This window comes from Homo sapiens, chromosome X, assembly GCF_000001405.40.
Source record: "Homo sapiens chromosome X, GRCh38.p14 Primary Assembly".
NCBI classification, from domain to species: domain Eukaryota; kingdom Metazoa; phylum Chordata; class Mammalia; order Primates; family Hominidae; genus Homo; species Homo sapiens.
The window spans coordinates 124,374,507-124,396,709 of record NC_000023.11 but is presented as its reverse complement, the minus strand read 5'-3'; the positions used below and the strand labels follow the sequence as shown (position 1 = coordinate 124,396,709).

Below are 22,203 nucleotides of genomic sequence, written 5' to 3'. Positions count from 1 at the left end.
GCTTTCTCAGCCTTGCCCACAAACCCAGTAGTAGGTAGTGTTCAGCCTAGTTCTTATTCTTATCATAGAGGCTGGTGGCACGTGAGCACTCAAGAAGGAGGTTGGAGGCCTGGCGTGGTGGCTCATGCCTGTAATCCCAGCACTTTGGGAGGGTGAGGTGGGTGGATTGCCTGAGGTCAGGAGTTCGAGACCAGCCTGGCCAACATGGCGAAACCCTGTCTCTACTAAAAATACAAAAAAATTAGCTGGGCGTGGTGGCGGGCACCTGTAATCCCAGCTACTCGGGAGGCTGAGGCAGGAGAATCGCTTGAACCAGGAAGTGGAGGTTGCAGTGAGCCAAGATCGTGCCATTGCACTCCAGCCTGGGTGACAAGAGCAAAACTCCGGCTCGAAAAAAAAAAAAAAGGTTGGGAGAGGCTCAGCTGGAAAAGCATTCTCTTTGCCAGGCTTCTCACACATGGTTTCCCCAGGAGACTCAGGGAGGAACCTGTGGCATCTTCAGTTCCTTCATTCTTTTTTAGCTCTTAGCCGAATTTTACATTAACTTCCAAACCTGACTTTGAAACTAGTGTTTCAGCAGCACTGGAATATCAGAGTGCATTATCCATAAACAGAGAAGCACAGCGGCAGACGTCTTGACAGGCAGAGAAAGAACATTAGGCAGAGTTGTCCTCTGCTTGCTTTGTGGTGGATTTTAAACAGTGATCCCTGCTTATGTAGCTATAATGACTTTACTAAGAAATGTGTTCTTGAGTAGTAAACTTAATCTATCAGACAAATAAAACCACAAATTTAGTTGAACTGGAAATCACTTGTTACTTTGGCTCTTTAACTATCATTATAGCATAAATTGCAACAGTTACAACCATCTCTGGGAGTACATGGATATTTTACAGCTATTGTAAATGAACAGTATTACAGTTGGAGATATGTGGCTGTGAAACCACAGGAAGGGTAGTTCAAGAACACCTGGTTTCCTATAGGCTTCCAGGCCCGTTGTATCAAAAGACAGGAAATATGCGCTTTTCTTATCACCTTTTAGGTGCACATAACAACACATAAGCACATAACAACAGGTGGCTGTATATGTATGCAAGACAACACTGCATGCATTGGCCACAGATGGTATAAAGAGTCAAGAGTCCCAATTTGTGGTTGTACTCCCTGAATTAAACCTACCCCTGACACAAACGGCACTTGCCCCCAGATAATTTAAGCATCTAACCACTAGTCTTCCAGATACAATTCATGGCATGGAACATTTGGTAGGTCTTCTTTTTTTTTTTTTCAGAAGTTCAAAATTAAGGGCAAATAACATTAGCCCCAGCTGACCAATGAAGAAACTGAAACCAAAAGAGGTTTAAAAAGGAAAGTGTCACACCCCAATAGAAAAATGGGCAAATATCATGAGCAGACAATTTATAGAAGATACACATGTGGCCAATAGATGTTAAAAAGTGTTCAGCCTCAGTAGTAATCAAATAAATGCAAATTTAAGCCACAGCAGCATATCATTTTCCCACTCTCATATTGGGAAAAGTTAATTAACTGATAATACTCAATGCTAGTAAGGATGGACTGAGATAGCCTCTCCCACTACTAGCTAATGGGAGTATGAATTTATACAACCTCTGTGCACTATAAAGTAATCTCTCAGGTTGCATCAGGGGTCTTTTAACATGTCTCATTTGACCCAGTAATTTCACTCATAGGGTTCTGTATTATGGAAATATTTACTTATAAAAATGTTCAGCAAAACATGCAATATGAAAGAGAAAAACAAAAACTACTTTCTGATTTCTAATTGGGAGAATAGATAAATAAATGTTTATCATGTAGTAAGACATGCAACCATTAAAAAGTATATTTTAAGAACATTGAATAACACAAGGAATGCTAAAGATAAAACATTAGCTGAAAAAGTAGGACACAAAACTTTAAATACAATCCTAGTTGTATGTTTTAAATGTATGCACAGAGATTATGCCAAAAAAGTAAGATAAATGAAATGAAATACAGTGAAGTGTTAACAGTGATTTTCATTGGATGGTTGGATTACATGTAATTATATCCTTTGTACATTTCTATATTTCTAATTTTTCTGCCATGAAAAAGTTATCTCTTTTATATTTGGGGGTGGGAGGGAAAGGTTACTTTTTAAAGCAAAGAGCACAAGATTCTGAACAAAGGAAGACCAGAGTCTGGTATGAGAGCATTAGCTTTGCAGCCATCCAGACCTCTAAGATCAAAACTCTTTCTGAACCAGGATGTTGATCTTGGATTCCTGAGACCTGAAAAGGTTTTATGTTTAGGTTTTTCAGAAAGGTTCAAAGCCCCCCTAAGAGTATATTAAAAATGTTAATATATATGCATTTTATATGCACTTTTCTTGGGATACATTGCATAGCTTTCAGATAGTTAAACAGATCCTTGACCACAAAAGTTAAAATTAACATCAAGTTTAGTTGAGTAGCTAGTGAATCAGTTTAATCTGACTATGATTAATGTAGTCAAATCCTAATGTGAGTTTCACTCCTCCCCTTCATTAACAAGATATTTAACATTTCATTCAGGATCATGTTGACAACTCTTACCGATATAAATCTAGTACACTAAGCTACAATCACCTTGGAATCTGAAATGTGGTCCTATTCACAAGCCTAAATAAAATGAGAAAAGTAATCATTATGTTATACAAATAACAATTACTAGTGTTGTTTCACAGCTTACCAAGTACCTGTATATGGAATATCGTTTAATTCTTAGCACAAGTTTGTGGTGTAAAGTGGTAACATCACTCTTGTTTCACAGATAAGAAAACTAAGGCGCAGATGGAAGAAATGACTGGTGCACAGACAAGTAACTAGTTTGAATGTCTCCTGACTGCAGTTCACTGCTACTTAGACTCCTCAAAGTCTCTCCTTTTTCATTCTTGTTTTTGTTCCTGCCGGATACACTAGGACTCTCTCCACCCAAATCAGAAGTCTGTCCCCTAAAAGCTGGGTGAAGGGTACACAGCAACTCTACCATTTTTGCAACTTCTTGTGAGTCAGACTATGTAAAAATAAAAAGTTTTAACACAACAAAACATAAAACCCACTAAAACTAAAACTTAACTAAACTGAGCTAAGCTAAAATAAAATAAATTTTAAAATTCCTTCCTGCACTTTCCACCTATGCCTTCTTCAAAGCTCCCCTCTTCCACAGGGCCTTCTTCAGTGCACTGGCCAGCAGGGACTGAACCTCTTAATGACTAAAATCAAGAACACCTTTTTTTTTTCTGAAACACACACACACAAAAAAAAACAGTTGAGGATTGCATTTTCTAAGTGATTGTGTTGTAATCAGCTACCCATAGCAGAAGTTACTGGTAGATCTAGCAAACACTGACACTACCAGCTGAAACGTGGAAAAAATCAGGTCAGTTGTCCCACTGCTGATTTTTTAAACTTTTTTTTTTTTTACTAAGTCATTTAGTTATTTGGTTATCTTGTGTGAACCCAGATGAATTTTATCAGTCAGGCACCGTTGAATACTGTCTTTCATGGAATCCAGTTCAAGATCCCTTGAATCAGGATCACTCTGGGACTGCTACAAGGTTTTGAGGTGCCCAGAGAAAATGCTACCATACGGTAGAAAAAGTCTAGAACCAGAATCATGTGAAAGTACTGTTTCTAAACTTGGAATCCAAACTTAACTCTGTGCTTTAACCACAGTTAGTGGTGCTGCCCTTGTGAATGCTGGGGGACCTACCAACACTTAGTTCATTTACCTACAGGCCTCCGTGAAAGTATTGCTAAGTGAGATTCCATAACTAGAGGGCAAGGCAACCTGAGTTCCCCTATAATAGGTGTGAAATCATATAAAACTCCAAGCCCAGGTGAATGAGGAAACCAAAGAAGGGAATCTGTATAAGTTAGAGGGGGCTCACTGTATTCCTTTTGTCTGATTTCTAATCACACAAATAATTCACCCTTTTATGTTATGGCCACTTCACTGGTGAAAAGGGTGAAGGAATACCCACTCCTTAGTAGGCAACTGACTTACATAAAATAAGATCACATAATTACTGAAAACTGTGGCACTGCACTTAAGGCTTGAGCTGGGGAAAAAGCAATCAACAACCACCTATTGAGAGTCTAGAGTATTTCAAGTACTTAAGACATAGCCCTGCTCTCTGAGAGTGTACAATGTGGTAGAGGAATAAAGACAGGTGGCATCTGTGGAATGTGAAGCCGTGAGGCTTCAGAGGCAAGACAGACTCTATCGTTGGATAATCAGGAAAGGATTCATGATTGTCAGTGCTCTAATGAGGGGAACAAGGCTGTGCTTAAAATGTATTTCATATCTCTTTCTCATAGGCCCACAACAGAAACCTACTCTCCATAGATTTTGATCATATAACCCGCACAGGAAAGATCTATGATGACCATCGAAAATTCACCCTTCGAATTCTTTATGACCAGACTGGGCGACCCATTCTGTGGTCTCCTGTAAGCAGATATAATGAAGTGAACATCACATATTCACCTTCGGGATTGGTGACGTTTATTCAAAGAGGAACGTGGAATGAAAAAATGGAATATGACCAGAGTGGGAAAATTATTTCAAGAACTTGGGCTGATGGGAAAATTTGGAGCTATACCTACTTAGAAAAAGTAAGTACATAGGGGAAAAAGACAAGTTTCAAGTTTCTGAATGAGACTATCGAAAATGGCCCTAATTGTCCATCTTGGTGAGGACCTGCAGGAGAAAAGTCTGTGTTCCAGCTGTTCTGTTCTGTAGAAGTAACAAAAAGATGTTGAACTTATAAGGATAAACTGTTTTTCAGCTGAAAATTTTCCCCAGTCCCAGACTCTGCCAAGTACTCTTTCAGACTAAAGTCAGAATAACGGCTTAGCTTTCTCCTCATTTGAACATCTTTGTTCATGCTTTTGAAAAGGTTATCTTTATTATTATGAAAGCTCATACCGAGGGAAAAATAGCTAGAAAATTATAAAATTGTGTTAATGTACTCAGCTCTGGTAAAGGGCTTTTTACCCAGAGGATAAGCAATTCTAATTTTGTTAGGATAGTCAGTGAAGTTTTAGTTGTATACATTTGAAGACTAATTTCCAAAAGTAATCAGCCTGCGGGAATGGTGGTAGTGGGGCCTCATTGGTAATACTCTTTTCTGTACACTGAGTCTCCAGTAGCATCCATAATGGGAGCTTGTGGCCTGTGTCTGGGAATAATAGAAAAATATTTTAATCCCACTACAGGAACCATTTGTCAAACATCAGCCCCTACAGAGCAAAATGGTTTCTGGCCAGATTGGTACCAGAGGACAGTAAGAGTAATTGATCTCTATCTCAATGTCTAATCTCCTAAGATAGTGCCTCTTGTTTCCCAAATCTATTCTTTCAACACATTTAGGAATTCATCAGTCCTAAATTAATTTCTACAAAAATTGAAAAATGGCTTCCCTTGAGAATTCAAGGGTAATCAGTACAAGGTAGCTTCTAGATGTTCTTAGAGAAGTCATAGGAGCTCATAGCTCACATGACAGATTTCCCTATTGGTACCAAATAATGCCCAACTTTTCTGATACGCCCTCCCCAAAGTTAAACAAAAATAGTGTGCCAGTGGTTATATGTCATTATCAAACCATGTTACTAGTTCCCAGAGTTTGTTGCTGGAGAATTTACCAAGTTGGAAATGCCTGGAGATGAAGCAGAGTTCACTTGGGAGCCAGGGCAAAAGGAAGGAGTCCTTTGGTGAATCCACCTCATGTCCTTTTTTGCTAGAAATATTTATCAAATCTATAATCTATCCTCTACACTGGCAAAATCTGAATCTTATAGAGCAGGTCTTTCCTCTTTTGAATTTTGGTAACAAGAATGATTGGCAAAACCGTGTGACTAGTGCCTACAGAATGCCAAGCCTGTTACAACATTAACTGAATCCAAAAATTTGCTGGTATGTGTGCATAGGCAAAGTATTTCTTAAGGTGTATATTGATGACCTTCATATGAAAAAAACAGTGCTACTGATCACTAACAGAATATTAGCTGAGTTAGTTTTTCAGAAAGGAAGACAGGTTTGCACCAATCTTTCCACAGGTCCCCCATGTGACTAGTTAAGTAGCCAGCACTCCTTAGAAGCATACGTAGGATTGCACTCATAATTCCAACCTCATTGGCACCAGAGTCCGACCAACTGAGCTAATTGCCTATAGACAGTCACATCTAGGTCTCATAAGACTTTCCCCTCTAGATGACGAGTTAGTGGGTGCAGCGCACCAGCATGGCACATGTATACATACGTAACTAACCTGCACATTGTGCACATGTACCCTAAAACTTAAAGTATAATAATAAAAAAAAGACTTTCCCTTTAGACTATCTGCACAATAACATAAGAGCCTATTGAAAACTTCAATTTCATCCCTGGGTGCAGTTATTTAGCCTCTTCTCTGACACCAATGAGGAGATTTTATTGTTTCTCTTTTCCGAATTCACTGATTATTCCATCAAATTTACTTAAGCAAAGAATCACGTGAAGCAAACTTCACAAGTTCTCTTTGCTACAAAAACGTAGTTGGCAATAATTGCTAAGCAAACAAACAAAAACCTCGGTGAGACTGCCAGTGTCTGCAGTGGACAAAAATAAGACCTTCCTCACCCAGAATAAGGTATCAAGACAAGTCCTGGTAACTTTCTGACCAGTGAGACAAACCAGCTTATTTGTACCTTTGAGTTCACTTTTGTTCCTTTCTTGATTTTATATTTAATTTGTTCTCTAATTAAAAGGGTAGCTACTGATTTAAGCAGTCCTGTTATGCAAAACTCAGAACCTACAGAACGCATAATTATGGAACGATTCTTTACTTTCCAAAAGTCATTTGTCATAAAATTGATTTTATTAACATTATTATTACCAGTAATCATAACTAATTCACTGAATAGATATAATTAAATGAAATAACTTAATATAAAACACCCAAGTAGAGAATTTAAATGCTAGCTAGCACTTACTGCCACTTGGAGGTAAATCAAAACAAGAAAGAGCAGAAGAAAGTAAGGGAGGGAAGAAGGAAGGAAGGGAGGGAGGCAGGGAGGGAGGGAGGAAATTAAAGCATCTTTGAAATTGTGATTCTAGAGGGAAAAAGGGAAAGAACATTGAATTTACCAAAATCCCATGTAACATGTAACTTTTTCACTGACTTGAGGTTTTGTATCTCCTTGTGTTCTTTCCAGTCCTCTCATTAATATGGCCTTTGTGGCACATTCTCCCACTATGACAGGGGCAGAGCAGGGATAAAGAGGCTCGTTCTTGTAGTATATTTTAAACTAAGAATTCTCAAACTTTAAAATGGATTTCTCTTTTTACACCCCAAAATACTCTGGTATTACCTTGTGAATTCGCTTGCCATACCTGTGTCACGATGTATTAAAAAGCAGCAGCAGATTTTTCACCTTAACACGCAGAAATTTTGTGAAAATAGTTTGACTTCTTCTAGAGTAAGTGAAACTTATGCATATCATTTTCATGCACAATGGTTGTAGCCATTAGGAGAAAAATAATTATTTGGGTAATGGCTGTGGTTGCTTAATGATCTCTTCCCTATTAAAAAAATCAATTATTGTTTCTTAAATTTTCTCTATGTGGTCATTAATTCTCTGTCTTGATTTATGAGACTTCTCTGAGTTAATTATATTTTGAAGACTTGTGGGCTAAAATTTTGTATTAGAGTAAATGTAAACCTTTCAGTTTCCTAAAATAATTCTTATGAACTTCATTTTTAAAATGCATTTAAATATATTTTATAATCATTTAATAAGATACTTTAGCCTTATACATTTACAGCAATTGCCTCTTTGGGGCTGACACTTTCAGAGGCTGCCTAGAGAGACAGAACGACGACTTTGGCTTCAGCTTCCAGGTGGCCCCACACTGCCATCTGGTGGTCATTCAAATGCTTTAACTTTTCAAATTTCTGCTCTCATTTCTAGTCTTGTTCAAATAAGCATACAGCCATGATTGCTGTTGCTGTTGTTGTTGCTTTTACAATTATCTCTTTTAGAACCTCACAATCAATTAAAAGAATAAAAGTCTCCCACTCTGTTATTTGGACTAATAAGAAATGGCCTTTTATCCTATAACAGCATTGTGGACATTGGATAGATTCATAAGCACTGTTTTTGAGCAAACTGATAATAATGCCCACCCAAAGTGAAAAAGCAGCCAAATGAGAGCTAAATGGTATTTTGGCAATGTAACAGTTACATTCATTTGATTTCTAATCACATCATCCACATTCTTGCCATTGGCAGGAAGCTTTGAAACAGACTAAGGGCTTTTGAGACAGCCCAGCATCAGCACCACCTAGGAACACGGTTCAGGCAGTGGTTTACTGCAGGCAGGAGGATGGGAACAGAGGAGAGAATAACAACGACGTGCCATAAATACTTGGAAAGGCTGGTACAGTGACTGGAAAAGGCATGGCCCAGGCAGGCTGGTACTAGATAATGTGTGGGGGCCATATGGTGATAGTCCCTGGCCCGTGTCACAGGTGACAGATGTCATTTACTCACAGCAAGTTGACAGAAGAGAGTGGAAAGGAACTGAGAAATGTGACTTTCAGACTAGAGATAATGCAAAAGCTTTTCCACAATTCCTGTACAAAGCTTTTCCACCCCTGCCCCCTGCCACCTGCTTTCCCATTCATAGGAAAATTTCTTGCTGGTTCTATTGAATTCTGCCTTGGTCCAGGGAGGCAGTTCTCCCTTAATGTCTCCAAGCCCATTCAGGATTTCCAAGTCTCCTTCCTTTTGTTCAGGAGGTTTTCAGAGGTCACAGTGGTGGAACTGTAGGCTGTGGCAAGCTGCAGGTTGTCCACAAGTGACGAATTGACAGGATTTCTGCACTCACCTCTGGCTCTGCAGGCGTAATGTTGGTGGAAAAGAAAGAATGAACAAATGAGCAAATAACCACTGACTTTGACTTCATGGTACTGAAATGCAATTCAAAGTCAATAATTCTCAGAAGGGTAGGGAGGATATGCAGTTTCAGAAAGCACATTCAATATTAGAATGTAATGTCATATTTAGAAGATATAAATGTACATTACATATACTTGTGTAATTCACATTCATAAATATTTATATAATTTGTGCTTAGAAAATGAAAATATACCTATTGTTTTCATAACACAAACTTGAATAAATAACCCTCAACTAAATCTCTTTGCTTGAAAAGGTAATTTTCTAAAGGGGAAGGATAAAGCTCCTCTAGGGAGTCATATCAGAATCTCCAAGGATGAGAAATTTTTATTTTTATTAAAAGATGAGATGCACATGTCAGTCAATTAGAGTCCTCCCTAAAACAGTGCTCCTTTTATGTCTGCATTTAGAATTAAAACAAGACAATCAATATTTATGAAACACCTGTTACCTGCATTATACCTCAACAAACAACTGTTTCTAAAATACAGATCAGTTTGGGGGAGAGGGGCTGCATAACCAGAGAATCATTCAGTTTTAATGACATGCTTCCCTAATATTAAAACACAAATGGAAATGTGAAGTTAAAACATCAATTGCAAAACATTAATAGTGCCATAATAATATTTTATGCACAATTTTTAGGAAGACATCTAGTATGTGAAGTCAATCAATACTTTATGATAACTATAAATTAATTTGTGAAATGCCCTGCCATCCATTTACCTTCCTCTGAAACATATGCACGTTGAAGTAACCTTTCTAAAATACCAACTTGACAGTTTCTCCCAGCTTGCAAGTGCCCTCTTGCAACCGTCCCTTAACTTGCTTAAAACCCTTCAAGAGTGCCAGATGCAGTGGCACACATTGGTAGTCCCAGTTACTCAGGAGGCTGAGACAGGAGGATAGCCTAAGCTCAGGAGTTCGAGGCTGCAGTGAGCTATGACTACACCACTGCACTCCAGCCTGGGCAACACCGTGAGACCCTGGCTCTAAAAAAATGAAATAAAATAGAAACCCTTCGATGACTCCCTGTTGCCAACATACTTGAATCCAAACTCCTTAGTGTGGCTTAGAAAGCCTAGCATGATCTGGACTCAGCCTACATAGCTGACGTCATCTCCTGCCATTCCCACCACTCCCAACATACTCAAGTTCTAGCCACACAAAATTTCTCTCATTCTCTGAAAAAGCCGTGTTCTTTTTCATATCCAGACCCTCACAAGGCTGTGCTCTCTGCCAAGAATACTCTTTCCCTACCCCTGCCCCCGGCTCCCTGCCTTCACCTGGACAATCCCTAGGCAATCTTTATGTCTCAACTCAGATGCCACTTTATCCAAGAAGCCTTTTCTGGTCTCTCAAGTCTGAGTAAGCTGGTCTTCCTCTGCCTTCCAGAAGCACTCTGTAACTCCCCTGTCATAACACATTTCACACTATATTGTAATTGCTTGGTTACTTGTCTTTCTCCTCCATTAAAACTGTAAATTTCATGAAGATAGACACCACTATTGTGCACTACTGTATCCACTAGGGTTTGCCACAGTGTCTGGCACACAGTAAGTGCTTGATTGATTTGTGTTGAATGGATGAATGTGTATTTTCTTTAGTCGCCTCAACTTTAGTTGTCCATAATATGCTATTCTGCCTTTGTCTCGTTTCAGTCTGTGATGCTTCTCCTACACAGCCAGCGGCGTTACATCTTTGAGTATGACCAACCAGATTGTCTGCTCTCAGTCACCATGCCTAGCATGGTGCGTCACAGCTTACAAACCATGCTTTCAGTGGGCTACTACCGGAACATCTACACCCCACCGGACAGTAGCACTTCTTTTATCCAAGACTATAGTCGAGATGGCCGATTGCTACAGACCCTGCATCTGGGGACAGGGCGCAGAGTCTTATACAAGTACACCAAGCAAGCAAGGCTTTCTGAGGTTCTCTATGATACCACTCAGGTCACATTAACATATGAAGAGTCTTCTGGAGTGATTAAGACAATACACCTGATGCATGACGGATTCATCTGCACAATCAGATACAGGCAAACAGGTTTGTTGTGAAAGAGTGGTGGTGTGTACAACAACATCACTATTTTCTTATGACATTTTTACTGACCACAGTGTGAGATAGAAGCATTAATCTACACACATTCAACCCAACTTTCACTTTACTTATCAAATTATCTGACATTGAAAATGTAAAGCATGTTATAGTCTGATGAAAGCTGATTTCTTAAAAACATATAGTGCATTTCTTTCTTTCAGCTCTCAAGTAATTTGAAATCCAAGTGCCTAGTGTAACTGTATACCCATTCCTGCTCAGCACCAAATCTTCTCAAAGATGAAACGGCAAGATATAAGTCTCACTGAAACTAGCTCAAGCCCTGTGTAACCTTTATAAGCCTCAGTTGATGACAAAATATCTTCACAAGTCAGAACTTTCTAATGTATTTCACCCTTTGGGTTTATAGAATGCCCAAATCCAGTTACTTTAATGCTGGAATTTGTCAAAACCTGACCCTCTGACTTTGTAGCAAAGGTTAAATGAAATGAAAGCATTTTTGTCAGTGATTATAGCAAGAAGTATCAATTTCATCACCCTGGGCTACTGGATGTGTTATTACTTCTGTAGTTTCTATAATTAAAATTTTCTATAACTATAGAGTATTTTAATTTTTTATATTTGAGGATTACCACTATGAGAATATATATCCATGAGGTAATATGCCCAGGCATTTGATATCAGAGATCAGTCTCTAATATTGTATTATGAATATAAAAGCACCAGTACTAAATAAAATAACACTAGACCTTTCTGACTCTTCCACATTGATCGCCTAGCTTCTTACTGTTTTTGTTTTGGTTCCTGCAGGACCTCTTATTGGACGCCAGATTTTCAGATTCAGTGAAGAAGGCCTTGTGAATGCACGGTTCGACTACAGCTACAACAATTTCCGAGTCACAAGCATGCAAGCTGTAATCAATGAAACCCCTTTGCCTATAGATCTTTACCGATATGTTGATGTCTCTGGCAGAACAGAGCAGTTTGGAAAATTCAGTGTAATTAATTACGATTTAAATCAGGTCATAACTACTACAGTGATGAAACACACCAAAATCTTCAGTGCCAATGGACAAGTCATTGAAGTCCAATATGAAATCCTAAAGGCAATTGCCTACTGGATGACCATTCAATATGATAATGTGGGCCGCATGGTAATATGTGACATAAGGGTAGGAGTAGATGCCAATATAACAAGGTACTTCTATGAATACGATGCTGATGGGCAACTTCAGACTGTTTCTGTAAATGACAAAACCCAGTGGCGTTATAGTTACGATCTGAATGGAAACATCAACCTCTTAAGCCATGGGAAGAGTGCTCGTCTTACTCCTCTCCGATATGACCTCCGAGACCGCATCACCAGATTAGGAGAAATTCAGTATAAAATGGATGAAGATGGCTTTCTGAGGCAGAGGGGAAATGATATTTTTGAATATAATTCTAATGGCCTGCTGCAGAAAGCCTACAATAAGGCTTCTGGCTGGACTGTGCAGTATTACTATGATGGGCTTGGGCGACGTGTCGCGAGTAAGTCCAGCCTAGGGCAGCACCTTCAGTTCTTTTATGCAGACCTTACCAACCCCATAAGAGTTACTCATTTGTACAACCACACAAGCTCGGAGATTACATCTCTGTATTATGATCTCCAAGGTCACCTTATTGCCATGGAGTTAAGCAGTGGTGAAGAATATTATGTAGCCTGTGATAATACAGGTACCCCACTAGCTGTGTTCAGCAGCCGAGGTCAGGTCATAAAGGAGATACTATACACACCTTATGGCGATATCTATCATGACACTTACCCTGACTTTCAGGTCATTATTGGTTTTCATGGAGGACTCTATGATTTCCTTACTAAATTAGTGCACCTGGGGCAAAGGGATTATGATGTTGTTGCTGGCAGATGGACAACGCCTAATCATCACATATGGAAACAGTTGAACCTCCTTCCTAAACCATTCAACCTCTACTCCTTTGAAAATAACTACCCAGTTGGCAAAATTCAAGATGTTGCAAAGTATACCACAGGTATTTAAACTATTTAAAACTTTAAGCTAAACTTGAGTAACTCAGTACTGTTGATTTTATCACAGAATCTCAATGCCTTTGTAAATATGCTTCCTCTTCCTGACAGTTAGCCCGCAAGTTATTGTGCATTTGCTGTCTTCCTTAGTTTTCTAGAGTGAGCAAAACGTGCATGTTAACATATAATACTTTTGCATCCTACTACATTTTTTAGCTGTTTCTGTGTTTTACTCTTACAAGCTTATATGAATAATTTCGTAAAAGAAAAATTCAGGATTCTTGTTTCATCATATAAGCTGATATTATAATCCAGGGTTATCCACAAATCAACACTCTACCCTGTAGAGAGAGGATCAGGTGTTTTAGTGTGGGCCATATAAAGGGGAGTTTTAGGCTGGGTGCGGTGGCTCACACCTGTAATCCCAGCATTGGGAGGCTGAGGCAGGCAGATCACTTGAGGCCAGGAGTTTGAGACCAGCCTGGCCAACATGGTGAAACCCCATCTCTACTAAAAATACAAAAATTAGCACATGCCTATAATCCCAGCTACTCAGGAAGGAGGCTGAGGCAGGAGAATCGCTTGAACCCAAGAGGTGGAGGTTGCAGTGAGCCAAGATTGCACCACTGTACTCCAGCCTGGGCAACAGAGTGAGACTATGTCAAATAAATAAATAAATAAATAAATAAATAAATAAATAGGAGTTTTATTCCTAACTTCTATTGCCTAAACAGTTTGAAGGCAGGAGAGGTATCTTTCAAGTTTTCAACAAAGCTTATAAAGTATGGGATTTTTCATTTTCTTTTTTTAATATTGTGTCTCACAGACATCAGAAGTTGGTTGGAGCTATTTGGTTTCCAATTACACAATGTACTACCTGGATTTCCCAAACCTGAATTAGAAAATTTAGAATTAACTTACGAGCTTCTACGGCTTCAGACAAAAACTCAAGAGTGGGATCCTGGAAAGGTTAGTAAAAGTTTTATCACCTCCTTTTAGCTGAAACAACAGAAGGGCATTCAATACCCAGAAATTATATATACATATGTTTGCTTACTGATTTTTTAGTCTTCTTGAATATTCACTAAAACGTGCACAATTAATGAGAAGGTATAAAAAAAGCTCCATGAGAAAAAAGATCAGAGAATTGGAGTTTTGGGGGAAAAAAAAGATTAACAGGTTACTTGATGACTGCTGCAATAGGTACATAAGAGGAAAGAGGAACTGTACTTTAAAAATTCTGAAATGGGCTACCAAGAGCAATTATGGATTCTACCTAGAGAAAATTGTTCGGTAAGAGACACGAAAACATCAGATTTCCAACTGTAAAATAATTTAGGGGTTGATGTCTTAAGAGCATGGGAATAACAGAATAAAATTATTCTGATAAAGAAAAAATACATAAACACAATGAAGCAAAAATAATAAATATTACAAGGGTACAGTTTTGAGAAAAAATAGGAACATCAAAACATTTAAGATTCAGCAGATGATATCACCAGAAGTATGAGGTACAAATGAAAATAAGGAGCTTTTTCTTTCAACTGAAAGAAATATGAATATCTGTGTTTGCGAAAACAAAATGGGCTTGATAGAATAAAACTGAAATTTGGGTGTGAGGCCTTGAAATTTAAGTCTAAAAAATTATAAGGGACAGGAAGTTCTAGATAGGTCCTATAAATTCATCCCTTTTTGTAAAGATGTAAATGCTTTCTGTAATTAAAAGTCCTTCTAAAAAACATTTAGCAAAATGTTGAAAATTGCTGAAGCTTCATAATGGATACTTGGAGGTTCATTAGTCTTTTCTCTTTATTTCTTAGTATGTTTGAAAATTGCCCAAAAAAAAAGGTTTTTTTTAAGTCCACATAAAAAGATCAATGAATTTCTGGCTGATTTGCCATAGTTAATTATAAGGTCTTAAACTCTTTAAAGTAGGAACTATGCCTTATGCATTTCTTTGTGCCTCACTGTGCCTAAGTATTACTCTACATGTAGTAATAACATCTAGTCAGTGTGAGTGAAATCAGTGAAAATAAAATGTCTGTGTTTTGGGAGAGCTGGACCAACTTAAAGTGCCTTCCAGCTCTGCAATTCTGTGATTTCAAGTTTAAATGTATTTCCTTATGCTTAACTCCACCAAGATATAAGAATGCTAGGTAGTCACCTGTTAGTCTTTTCCAAATCTCTGATGAAGAGATTCCAAATCTGGCTTATTTTTAAATCACTCACTGACAAATTAAAGAGAGAAGGAAGCAAACTTGCAAGCCTGTCCTTTCCACAATCACCAAGTATCTGACAGATGTCTAACTCCATGCTGCATCTGCTCTGTGCCTCTCTTTCCTAGACTATCCTGGGCATTCAGTGTGAACTCCAGAAACAGCTCAGGAATTTCATTTCCTTGGACCAACTACCTATGACTCCCCGATACAATGATGGACGGTGCCTTGAAGGAGGGAAGCAACCAAGGTTTGCTGCTGTCCCTTCTGTTTTTGGGAAAGGTATAAAATTTGCCATCAAGGATGGCATAGTAACAGCTGATATTATAGGAGTAGCCAATGAAGATAGCAGGCGGCTTGCTGCCATTCTCAATAATGCCCATTACCTGGAAAACCTACATTTTACCATAGAGGGGAGGGACACTCACTACTTCATTAAGCTTGGGTCTCTGGAGGAAGACCTGGTGCTCATCGGTAACACTGGGGGGAGGCGGATTCTGGAGAATGGTGTCAATGTCACTGTGTCCCAGATGACTTCTGTGTTGAATGGGAGGACTAGACGGTTTGCAGATATTCAGCTCCAGCATGGAGCCCTGTGCTTCAACATCCGGTATGGGACAACTGTCGAAGAGGAAAAGAATCACGTGTTGGAGATTGCCAGACAGCGCGCAGTGGCCCAGGCCTGGACTAAGGAACAAAGAAGGCTGCAAGAGGGGGAAGAGGGGATTAGGGCATGGACAGAAGGGGAAAAGCAGCAGCTTTTGAGCACTGGGCGGGTACAAGGTTACGATGGGTATTTTGTTTTGTCTGTTGAGCAGTATTTAGAACTTTCTGACAGTGCCAATAATATTCACTTTATGAGACAGAGCGAAATAGGCAGGAGGTAACAAAAATATCTCTGCCTTTGCGTCACCAAAGACTGCCTGTTTTTAAAACATAAAATGGTTTATTGTATTGGTTTTCTAGATCAGAACTCTGTATATGTAAATATGGAGGAAAAACATATCCAACTGCCTTTCAATGTGACGGAAGATGGTATTTTAATATTGTTTGTTTAAACTCTTTAAGAAATGACAGAGATTTTTAGTTCTTGTGTGGCAGTATTCAAAATAACACAAGTAGAACTCAAACAGCTAAAAACAGTTTTCAGAAAGCACCACTTTCAATTTGCCGAGCCATGCATATGTTCCAATATCCAGAAAGAACCCAAGGTTCTCTATCTCTATTGTGAGAAGCAGTTTCATCCTTAACTGTTGGCAGAACTTACGGGCTATTTGAATAGGTGGTGCAATAGTATCTGAAACTTGCCTTTCGAAAGACTGCCAGCCCTTTGACGTTTTCCAGATCTGTTATAGGAAACTTAAAAACAGGTGTAAAATGTCTTCAGCCACCATCTCCTAGAGTGAGGACCCAATTGCCCTTCCTTCTTGATTATTCCTCCTTGCTTGTTAAAGTAAATGCCATATTGTTGTGCTGTGTTTTGGCGTGTGGTGGCTGGGTTCTGTCTACCATGCTTCCCTGTGGGTGTGGTAACCAGACTGTATAGCCGCTATTTGCTCGTGTGTACATGATACCAAAGCAGCTGGCCAGCGTGACCTCTCTCACACGACCTGTTTTGACTCAATTTTTTACTAAAAGTTGTTCAGCTGTATTGGTATCATGTAAACATAGCTTTTATTAACCTGGGTAGGAATTTCTCATTTATATATAGGATGTGTTTTGGTCATAGTTTCACATTAGTGATTCAGTATCTATACACTGACCCAATGGTTTTGTGCACATGAACGGTAATTTACTTAAAAGTATGATTCTGGTACAAAAACAAACAAAGGCTTTAGCAGGCATACGTGTCTGGGATGCCGATACATACATTAACTACTACTGCAGAAATTCATAAGAGCCAAAACCTTAAAAAAATAGACCTGGTACTTAAGTGAAAGTACTAAAGGGAAGACCAGACCAAACATCACAGCAGTTGCTGCCACATTGTTTCAGCCCACTTAGATTTATCTTTCAAATGTACAATTCTGTATTGAACATCTCCCAGCCATCTTCAGGAAATCGAATCAAGTAAATCCTTTCCAACCGAAAACATTTCAACTAACTATAGAGAGGCAGACTCATTTTTACTAAAATAATTTATACAGTTAGTTATTTTCGTTCTCCGTACTTACCCATTTATCTTTATTTAATCGTCTCTACTGCCTAGGAAAATAACTATTTTCCAGGACGGGTTATTTGTTCTGCGATCATTTAAAATTTGGAGAAAGGTCAGGATTAGTGTTAATATCAGCTGCAGTTTCTCAATCTCTAGGAATCCTGCAGTAAAACAAGCCCCTTGGTGAGCTGGAAGATTTGTGCCCAGTGACAAAGAGATAGTTTGTAAAATGCTGTGTAATTGTAAGTTACCACAAATGAAAATACATGACAGCACAATGTGGCCCGTAGAAAATTCCCCTGAGCCAGCTTCTGCACTTTCATCACCGAATCTGAACATTTGCTATGTCTGAAGGCAAATTTATGATGGAATGTTAGTTTGGATTCTTTCCAGATGCTACCTAAATGCAGTGTGGGGTCATTGCCTTGCTTTGCGATGACAGTTTCTTTGAAAATATGCAAAGTCATAAGCTCATGTTAAGGTTTTTCAAGAGTCTGCCTCCTACTACACAAAGGAAAGCAAGGGAAAGGAAATGACCCTGGCAAACAGTAGGGAAGGGTGTATTCAAACATTTCATTTTCAAAACCTTCGGGTTAGAATACCACTTACACATGTATTCTGAGAGACAGAATTCATGAGGAACTCATCTCTCTTTATAACTGGAAACACACCAGCTTGATATATTGCTAATCCATACTAAAATCATATTATTGGGTTTTTTCTGAATCAGGCCTGTATTAATGGTACAGTATTTATTCAGAATGGAATTCTAAAATTACTAACAAACTTGTTGAAAATTTGAATACCTCCACACCAACCTAAAAATGGACCTTAAGTTCCTAGAACCTCTGATGTTCTTTTAAATTAATGGAAAAATAATTTGTGAACTGTATATAGAGAGTGCATTCATAAATGTGATTATGTATTTTATCACAAATCCAAAATGTCAATATTAGAGTCTATTTTGCTTATATTTTAAGCAATTATACGTTTTTGCAATTCATTGATGATGTATCATTTTCAAACTGCTTTAAATATCCATTAGAAACAAATATTTGAAGCTTTTACTTAATAGTGATTACCTTGAACTGTGCATTTCTAGTTTGTAATACGTATTTGGTTGGTTCGTGCCTTTAGTTTGTTAAAGTTACATTTGTATTATATTCAGGAAATGCACTTTTTATTACTTACAGCTGTGGTTTTAATACTGCCTTGAACTATTATTATTCTTTTTACAACTCCTAAAGCTTGAGGGAGGAAAGAAAAAAAAAACAAAACTACTAATCAGTAGTAAATCGAAGAGAAACATTTTGGCATTTCTTAAGAAGAAGATGGAGATATTGAGTATATCACTTCCTATTCAGCTGAATAGAAAGAATGCCTTCATTGACTTGCAGTTCTGCAGTTTAAATTATTGAAAGAACAATTCGTTTGCATTTCCTGATGAAAGTAAAAGCATTTTTCAGAGAAACATATGAATTTCTCATACCCAGCAGACAGATGGCTGACACTGCACAGCCACACACCATTCGAGTAAGTTAAAGTGAGAGCATAGTAGTTGGACTCTCCTATGAAGAACATTCTGGGCTGGAGGCAGGGAATACTCCATGGTTGTTTCTTTTTCCTACTTAAGCCCATTTTGTTTGTGCTTTTCTGTTTTGTTTTGTTTTCACTCTTGCACTACAGTCTAGAGATCCAAATGAACTGAAAAGTTCAAAGTTTAACACATTTAAATATGTTTACTTTTAGTTGTCATTCTAATCGTTATTGATTAGAAGCATGACTCCTGAAGGAAAGGGAAATAAATCTCAATTCATACTAACTTGCAACAAAACACTTTTACCATATAAATAAGTATATGATTTATTTTTAACCCAAAAAATGTATAAAATAAGTGTGTCCTTTACTGTCAATTTATCTAGAAGATCTATAATATATAGACTACATATATATAATATATACAACATAGCCAAATGTATGAAAACTTGACAATGTATAATTTGGAATTCACATGCTACCTATGTAGACAGGTATGAAATTAAGTTATAATTTTCATGAGACATTTTCATCACTGTTGACACAGTTTCAAGCATTCCATCATGTTATTTTGACTCTTTTTCTTTTTTTTTTCTTTAAAAATATATTTTTAACTAGACCAGGCCCCACTATAATATCACTTAAGAGAGTCAGGGCAAAGTTTTTGCATTTATGAAGATGTGTTCATGTAAGGGTGATTGTAATGGAGTTCATTGGTAATAGAAGCAAAAGTACAGTAACGAAGTATTGAAAAGAAAATTTTGGAGACATTGGAGCATATTATATATAGCTTGTGGAAAGACATAAGGCTACAGATGGAATGGAACATTCCTGTTTTCTTGAAGAAATTCACATACACATAGCTGACCTGACTAGTACTTCAGCTCTTCCACAGCCTTCTATAAAGGTTCTTTCTTCTGCAAAGAAAACAAAACAAAACAAAACAAAACAAAAAAAACAAAAAAAGCGCAAAAAACAAAAAAACAAAAAAAAGCAAAGTAAAATTTAAAAATACAGAAAACAAACAACAAAAAAGAATTCAACCATAAATAGTGACTATTATTTTCAGTGTGTCCTTCATGTGAAAGCTATTAAGGACCAAATATACTACTGTTCATAAGAAGAAATTACTTTCTAAACAGTAACTGAAAATACTTAGAGTTAAACTTGCTGTGGATTTTGTCTTGGCAGTTGTCATCTTACATTATTTGTCAAAGGAAATGTGTTTGGCAGTTAAAAATCTTTCCTTAGATTTAGTGGTGGACTTTAACCTCTTAAATAAATGTTAGTATATCAGATTGTGTCCTTGAAAAATATTTTACTTGTATGAATCATGACAACGTCTAAATCTTTACTATTCTTCTGGCAAAAGCATCAGTAAGAAAGAAGGCGAAAAAGAGAAGTATAGCCTTTATGTCAGAAAAACATTCTTTTTAGCTGCTTACTTTCTCATGAAAAGTAAAGATGTTTACAGTGTATGCCAAGTTTTCAGTTTCTGTATAACAACAGGTAGAGGTTCTAATCATATTGAAAATTGTGTTATAATGGTCTGAGCCATGTTGCTAGGAAACAATAGGTTCCAATTTTGTATTCCTGCTCTCCTGTGCTGAAAAGTGACTGGATACTGTACAGGTTCATGTTCTCTGGCTGCAGTTAAATGGTCTTTTGCATTTTGCTCTGGCTTTCAGGCCAGAAGCATGCATTTTTCTACAAGAGCATCACAACAACATGCTGTAAATATTTAAAGTTAAACATTATGTGTTGATATTTGAAAGAAAAGTACTTTGAATATTTCATTTTTAAAAAATAAAATTGCCAATGAAAAATGTGTCCCATTTTATTTATGCGCCAAACTGCATTCTCAAATCAGTCTGGTCACCTTAGATAGGACAAGTGGCTCACTAACAGGGAACAATAAAACCACACCATCTTGAAAATGCAGGTACAGAAATCAAAAAGTCACTAATCCTAGGCAGACAGCTCTTCATTTTTATTTTTCATACAAATAGGATCTCTGACACAAGTGACCATTTAATAAACAAAGAAGAGTAGCTGCTGCAAATTTAAATGCCTCTAGGCTGTGACTTCCTTTAAAAAGGCTTCCCTCTCCTTTTGGTGCCTTTCTCAGCAATAGAAAGAAAATAAAAAATTATAAAAACGGGGTGGGAGAGATATATAGGAGTTCAGGGTGTCCAAATGCACTGGCAAAAAATAATGGATGTTGGGGCAGCAGCCAGTGGGGAAGGGTGTCAGGGAGGGGAGGCAATCATGAAACACTAAAAAAATCCTATGCAATTACAATTGCCATTTGGCACTTGTTTTTCACAAGAAGACATTTACAAGTGACGCTGGGAAATCTGGCCAACAGATCTTCAAAAATTCATCTTGATACTCGCGGAGCACATGTAGTCCAAACAACCCATTACTGAAACTTGGAATCCTGCAATTTACACCACTTCAAAATGCCCTGCTGCTTTTTTATGTGTGTGTGTGTGTGTGTGTGTGTCTGTGTGTGTGTGTGTGTGTATATATATATATATATATATATATAGAGAGAGAGAGAGAGAGAGAGAGAGAGAGAGAGAGTGAAAAGACTCATGGAGCAGAAGACAACCTTGATCATCTCAACACAACCCATCAGTAAAAAACAATGGGGGTAGGGGGTTGTTAGTATCAATCATCTGGAAATTTTTTTCAAAATATGCATCCCACCTCACACTCAGGGTATTTTTTAAAAGGGCAGGAGCTCCTATAGAGAGAGAATTATAATAGGAGACGTTTGTATATTCCTTCCCTATTCACCCTCCCTTTTAGAGATCTGTGACTATCAGTCAATGTTATTTAAACATTCAGTAATATTACTACCTTAAAGTTATACATATATGTAATTACGCACACACATATATGTAAATTATTGTACCTTAATAATCTTGTGAGGTTAGTACGACTTAATTATTCCTACTTGGCAAATGCAGTAACAGTAACAGACTGACTTACCTAAGGTCACGTGGATAATCAGTGACAAAGATGAAAAACAGTGGGAGTTGAACAATGAGAACACATAGACACAGGGAGGGGAACATCACACACTGGGGCCTGTCAGGCGGTGGGCGGCAAGGGGAGGGAGAGCATTGGGACAAATACCTAATGCGTGCAGAGCTTAAAACTTAGATGACGGGTTGATGGTGCAGCAAACCACCATGGCACATGTAACCTATGTAA

General features: G+C 37.9%; 1 protein-coding gene and 1 long non-coding RNA gene across 16 annotated transcripts in view; one reads left to right on the top strand and one right to left on the bottom strand.

The window, feature by feature from the left end:
- Window positions 1–20,807, top strand: part of TENM1 (teneurin transmembrane protein 1) — an 828,410-nt gene extending 807,603 nt beyond the window's left edge. For all 15 annotated transcript variants that reach the window (XM_017029210.3, XM_017029211.3, XM_047441760.1 and 12 more), the window contains 5 exons: window positions 4,362–4,658; window positions 10,646–11,033; window positions 11,856–13,076; window positions 13,898–14,040; window positions 15,416–20,807. In XM_017029210.3, the coding sequence (XP_016884699.1) occupies window positions 4,362–4,658; window positions 10,646–11,033; window positions 11,856–13,076; window positions 13,898–14,040; window positions 15,416–16,174 (2,808 nt within the window). In that variant the 3' untranslated portion in view covers window positions 16,175–20,807. The remainder of the gene's footprint in view (window positions 1–4,361; window positions 4,659–10,645; window positions 11,034–11,855; window positions 13,077–13,897; window positions 14,041–15,415) is intronic.
- Window positions 6,880–15,803, bottom strand: LOC105373331 (uncharacterized). Its single transcript, XR_938576.1, has 2 exons — window positions 15,716–15,803; window positions 6,880–8,921 (listed from the first exon to the last, which is right to left on the bottom strand). It is a non-coding gene; the product is annotated as an uncharacterized LOC105373331 (long non-coding RNA).